This window comes from Homo sapiens, chromosome 5, assembly GCF_000001405.40.
Source record: "Homo sapiens chromosome 5, GRCh38.p14 Primary Assembly".
Taxonomy (NCBI): Eukaryota; Metazoa; Chordata; class Mammalia; order Primates; family Hominidae; genus Homo; species Homo sapiens.
In genome coordinates this window covers 133157309-133164276 of record NC_000005.10, presented here as the reverse complement: position 1 = coordinate 133164276, position 6968 = coordinate 133157309, and positions in this window count along the sequence as shown.

The window sequence follows — 6968 nt, the reverse complement described above, 5'->3', positions numbered from 1 at the left end:
ATTTGAGGACTGTCTACGCCATGAGGGAGAGACAAACTCACCAAACAGGAGAGCTCAAAGGAAACAGGGTCAATAGCGTGACTCGAACAGAATCTTTTACCATAAGAATATTTTATATACTTAGAAAAATATGGGAGGATACCACATCCATTAAGTAAAAAGAACAGGCAATGAAAAAAGAACCAGTCTCAATAAAAATTGAACTGTTGATATTAAGAAGATAATAAAAGCGCTGAGTTGCAGAATTAACACATCTAAAGAATGAATCAGAGGCCCAGAGCTCTTCCAGAAATGGTCACCAAAGAATAGAATGATAGAAACTACACAAGAAAATTAGCAAAGGAAAAGAAGAAGGAAGAAAAATAAACACCTCCCATAACAGAAGATAGACATGTGTCTGCAGAATGAAAGGGCCCACTAAATGCCAAAATAAATAAATCACACACACCCAGCCCTACTAGGCATGAAAACTCATTATAAGGCTTCTATGGTTAAGACAGTAGAGTACTGTGCATGACTAGACAGATTAATGGAACAGAAGAGAAAACTCAGAAATAAGAACATTTAGTTTACATTAGGGCAGTATCTCAAATCAGTGGGGAAAGATAGGCTTTAGGGATAAAATGGAGTTGGTGCGCTAGGATAGTCATGGAGAAGAAGATAAAACTGGGTCCATCCTTTAACCCAAACCCTGGAATAAATGCCAAACAGATCAGAGGCCTAAAAGTTAAAAACTGAAACCATACAAGTACTAGAAAAAAACACAGGTGAATATCCAACATCATGATTGGGAGAGAACGTTCCTTCATATAATTTAAAATCTAGAAGCTGTTAAAGTTAAAAAAAAAATCATAAATTCGACTACAACTACAACCAAGTCAAACTTCTATATAGCAAAAAATCAATTGCTCCTATATATTAGCACTAACCAGTTTTATAGTAGGAAAGGAAAGATATCAGTACCATAATGTGCCTTGGCATACACCTGATAAGAAATGTGCAAGAAATAGTATAACTGTAAGACTTAACTGAACAATAATGAAAATGACCCGGAGAGAGAAACCATTTTCGAGAACAGTAAGATTTTTTATAATAACATTTTCAGCTCCCTTCCAATAATCTAAACATTCAATGCAAACACAATCCCAATACCAAAACAAGATTTGCAAGGACTTGCATAAGGTGATTCTAAAATGCACACGAAAATGTAAATATGTGAACGTAGTAAATAACTGTTTTGAAATGAAAAGAGGAGAACTTGCCCTACCAAGTATCAAAACATGTTATGAAACTACAGGTATTAATATTGTTTGGTTTTAGAGTAAGGAGAGATGGACCAAAGAAATGTAATTGAGAGCTCAGAAATGGGTTCATGTGTAGATAGCATCATTTCAAGTCAGTGGGAGAAAACTGGATGTGTTAATAATGGTATTGAGGCAACTGACTCTCTATTTTTGAATAAAATTATGCCCCTACACACTATTCTCAAAATTAAATTCCAGATAGATGAAAGAACCTAAATATTCCAAAAAGTGAAAGCTTTGAAGACAATATAAAGTTTGAGAAAATCTTCTTAAATCACAAACAGGCCAAGTGTAGTGGCTCATACCTGTAATCCCAGTGCTTTGGGAGGCTGTGGCAGGAGGATCTCTTGAGGCCAGGAGTTCAAGACCAGCCTGGGCAATACAGTGAGACCCCCCACCTCTACAGAAAACTTTAAAAATTAGGCAGGGCGTGGTGGCTCGCACCAGCACTTTGGGAGGCCAAGGCAGGTGGATCACCTGAGGTTAGGAGTTCGAGATCAGCCTGACATGGTGGAGTTTGAGACCACCAACATGGTGAAACACTGCCTCTACTAAAAATTCAAAAATTAGCCAGCCATGGTGGCACACACCTGTAATCCCAGCTTCTCAGGAGACTGAGACAGGAGAATCGCTTGAACCCAGGAGGCGGAGGTTACAGTGAGCCAAGATAGTGCCACTGCACTCCAGCCTGGGTGACAGAGCGAGACTCTGTCTCAAAAAAAAAAAAAAAATTAGCTGGTTGTGGTGATGGGTGCCTATAGTCCTACCTCCTCCAGAGGCTGAGATGGAGGGATCGCCTGAGACTAGGATTCAAGTGAGCCATGATCAGGCCACTGCTCTCTAGCCTGTGTAACAGAATGAGACCCTGTCACTAGAAACATACATAATAATCACAAACAGATGTATATAAAGAAAAAATAATAAAGTTGACTAAATCAAAATGTAAAATTTTGGCAAAAAACAACATAAGCAACACAAAAAGTCATGTTACACACTGGAAAATATGTATGTATCATACACATAACTAGGTATCCAGTCTATATGAAGATCTCCCAGGAAAAAAGAGAACCCAACGGGAAAGTGGATAGACAGGCAATTCATTAGAGGAAAAACACCATAGACAATAATGTGAAAGTATGTTCCATGTTCCTTGCCTCTTCCAGCTCCTGGTGGTACTGGTATTTCTTGGCTTGTGGCTGCATCATGCCAACCTCTGCCTCTGTGGCCACATTGCCTTCTCCTCTTCTACTGTGTGGTACCTCCCTCTGCCTCCTTCTCATGAGGATACTTATGATTACACTGGAGGCACACCCAAATAATTCAGGATAATTTCACCTCAATTATATATCTTGCCATATAAAATCCATCCTTTAGGTAATATCCACAGGTTCCAGGAATAATGATGTGGTTATCTTTGGGGTGGTGCATTATTTAACCTAGCACAAACTGGTTCACCCAGTTTTCTAGGTGTAGGGTAAGGTTAATAATAAAAACTATCCAAAAGAGTTATGATAATTGAATTAGTTAATACACTTAGAACAGTGCCTGGCACATAGTAACTGTTGGAGAAATAGTAGCTGCTACTACTAGTAGTAACAGTAGTGAAGAATATTTTAGACAAGACACAAAAATTTCAAACCATTAAAAAATTAATTTTTAAAATTCAACTCCATTAAACTCAAATTATCTGTATAATAAAGAACACTACAAACAAAGAAGTTAAACTTCAGAATGGAAGAAGATATTTGCAACACACCAACAAAAGATTAGTGTCTATAATATATAAAGAATTTCTACAAATCAGTAAGAAAAAGACAACCCTAAAAATGTGGAAAAGATCTAAACAGATAATTCACAGAAAGAAAACCTAAATGGCCAAGAAATATGAAGCAATGTTTAACCTAACTAATAATCAGAAAAGTAAATTTAAAATTGCAGTGAGATACCATTTCACATCTATCATGTTGGCAAATCACGAAAAACTAACTATGAACCAATTATTGGCAGGATGGAAAGCAGTGCTGAGAGTATAAATGGTTAAACTGATTCAGCAATCAGTCCAAGCAGAATGTTCATAAACATTTGTATCACATTTTATCAAACCTAAAGCAACACTGATTACAAGATGCATTGTTATTCTACATACTAAGAATAAAACTTCCAAATACTTGTAAGGTATCATAATAATATCAGAGATGATAAAATGAGGGGGGGAAAGTACATCTCAGACTGTATAAAGTAATAGTGAAAAAATTAGAAATAACCTAAATGTTCGTTCATCACAGAAATGGCTCAGTAAAATGCACTATACATTTGTACTATGAAATTCTTGTAGCAGTTAAAAGAAATTTATCAAAGAAAAGATATTACTAAGTGAAAATAGCAAGATGCAGAATCATATACAGTTAATATTTATGTGCACACACACCCAAGAAATCACACCAAAATTTTTTAAATTACCTTTTATGATAGATGGATTGCATTAAAGCCTCAATTTTTCATATTTCCCTGAATCCATGCCCTCTTGCACTGCCTGCCCATACTAACACTGGGCTTAGCTATGTATTTGCTTTGGCCAATGGAGCAATAGAAAACTTGGCATAAGCAGAAGCTTGAATGAACACTTGGTATTGCCTTATAGTTCTTGTCCCTGAAGAAAGGGAACCTAGGAGTCTTTAAAACATGTCTGACATACCCAGAGCAGCAGTGGTTAAGTCTAAAAAAGAAAGCTCTCAAAAAATTATGGGTGTGGCTTTTGACAAATGGCATTAAATGCAATGAGAAGCCTAGAAAACCCACAATGTTTTTGAGGATGTTCCATTGTCATAAATGCCCCCAGTCTGAGTAGAAATTATTCAAAATGAAAAAAAGGTCTGTGGACAGGAAGAAGGCTGAGAAGGACATTGCTTAAAGGGCACATCTTGTCTTCAGAAGTGGCCAAGGAGGATAATGGAAAAAGGAGGACACCTCAAAGGGTGAAGCCAAGGGCCTTGGAAAATAGTGGATTTGAAAACTTCATAGAAACCAGAAGCCCTCTTTCAAAAAAAAAAAAGAAAAGAAAAGAAAAGAAAGCCACTCTGAGTGAGCAGAATTGGGTGTTAATCAAGGGATATTCACCACCCCTGTGGTAAGGGGTATCTGCAAGTGAAGTTCTTCCCAAAACAGGGGAACCTGACAATGTTTTCCAAGCTGGATTGTAGAATTGCTACCGACAGTGATGCAATGTGCCTCCCACTCTTTTGAGTAGGAGTACCTATTGCAATTTTCCTGTCCCTGTCTTACCACTGTATGTTGGGAGGAGGAGATAAATTATCTTTTTAGTTCATAGGTCCCCAGATCAAGAGAAATTTCATCCAAGGAGCCACAAGCAGAGCTGATATAGATCATGAGATCCTAGGCTTCAAACATAATGATGTGATTGGATAACCTTTTGGGGATCCTAGAATGGGGGTGAGCATATTTTGCATATGGGAGGGATATGGTTAGTTGTGGCCAAAAGTGCACAATGGTAGACTGACTACATTAGTGGCCCCAAAGTTTCACGCCTCCCTCTATCTGTGCCTTTTAGTAGTATCACTGCACACTAACTCTGTACTTAACCATGTGACTTGCTTTGGCCAATGGACAGAGGCAAAATTGACGCAAGAAGGGTCTTCAAAAAGTGCTTGAATGTTTCTTGGACTCACATGATGAGAATATTCCCAGAATACCCTAATGGAAGGATATGAAAGATAACAGCAGGAAAGCAAAGTCATTCCAGTCCAGGCCATCAGACCAACTACACCACAGGCATCCAGCTTGCTGAGCAAGGTCAGCCCAAATCAGTTGAACTACCCATCCAACCTGTAGACTCATGGATAAATGATTGTCATTTTAAGCAACTAAGTGTTGGGGTGATATGTTAAGAGACAGAATGGTGTTCAAAGGGACTTTAGCCTTACCGATAATTTTCCTTTTTAAAAAAAATGATTAAGAATAATAAGACAAGCTAGGCCCAGTGGCCCACGCCTGTAATCCCAGCACTTTGGGAGGCCAAGGCAGGTAAATCACTTGAGCTCTAGAGTTCGAGACCACCCTGAACAACATGGCAAAACCCCTTTGTTATCAGTCCATTCTCACACTGTTAATAAAGACATATTTGAGACTGCATAATTTATAAAGGAAAGAAGTTCAATTGACTCACAGTTCTGCATGGCTGGGGAGGCCTCAGGAAACTTACAATTATGGCAGAAAGTGAGAGAGAAGCAAGGCACCTTCTTCACAAGGCAGCAGGAAGGAGAAGTGTCCCATCAGATCTCATGAGAACTCACTATCATGAGAACAGCATGAGGGTAACCATCGCCATGATTCAATAACCTCCAACCAGGTCCCTCCCACGACATGTGGAGATTATGGGAACTACAATTCAAGATGAGATTTAGGTGGAGACACAGCCAAATCAAATCACCCATCTCTACTAAAAATACAAAAATTAGCTGGGTGTGGTGGCACTGGCCTGTAATCCCAGCTACTCGGGAGGCTGGGGTAGGAGGATTCGCTTGAGCCTGGGAGGTAGAGGTTGCAATGAGCCAAGATGTTGCCACTGCACTCCAGCCTGGGCAACAGAGACAGACTCTGTCTCAAAATATAAATAAATAAATAAATAAATAAGATGTAATTTATTTGTGTGATTAAAGATTCATTTTTAAGTGGCAAAAGCTACAAACAGATCATTTTTGAGAATACAAATGTCCAAAACATTATAAAAAGATGCTTATCCTTACTAGTATTCAGTCAAATGCAGATTAAAATAGTTGGATCAATTGTGACACATCAAGTTGGAAAAAAAAAGAATAAGGTTAACAACATTAAATATTTATGAAGGTATGTGGAAACAGGAACCCCAAAAAGTGCTAGAAGTATAAACTACTATAGTCACTTTGTCTATGTCTGATTATTCAAAGACCAGAAATTTCAAAGCTTAGTATCCATTCAGCACTAAAAATCACCAAAAAATATTGTGCTTCTACCGCATCTCCCAACAGACTAGCATGAAACTCTCAAAATAAAAAACAATACACATGAAGAGACATCTCGCTGAAAAGAATACACAGATGGCAAATAAGCCCATGAAAGATGTTCAACATCATTAGCCATTAGGGAAACGCAAATCAAGATTACAATGAGCTATCACTATAGCTGTTAGAGCAGCTAAAATAAATAGTGACAATGCCAACTGCTGACAAGGAAGTGGAGAAACTGTATCTCTCTCACACTGCTGATATAGCCACTCCAGAAAGCAACTTAGCAATTTATTTAAAAATTAAATATATACGGCCAGGCGCGGTGGCTCACGCCTGTAATCCCAGCACTTTGGGAGGCCGAGGCAGGTGGATCACAAGGTCAAGAGATCGAGACCATCCTGGCTAACATGGTGTAACCTCGTCTCTACTAAAAATAAAAAAAATTAACTGGGCATGGTGGCAGGCACCTGTAGTCCCAGCTACTTGGGAGACTAAGGCAGAAGAATGGCGTGAACCTGGGAGGCGGAGTTTGCAGTGAGCCGAGATCGCACCACTGCACTCCAGCCTGGGCGACAGAGTGAGACTCCAACTCAAAAAAAAAAAAATTAAATATATACTTATCATATGACTGGCAATTGCGTATGACCCAGAAGTCAATGAG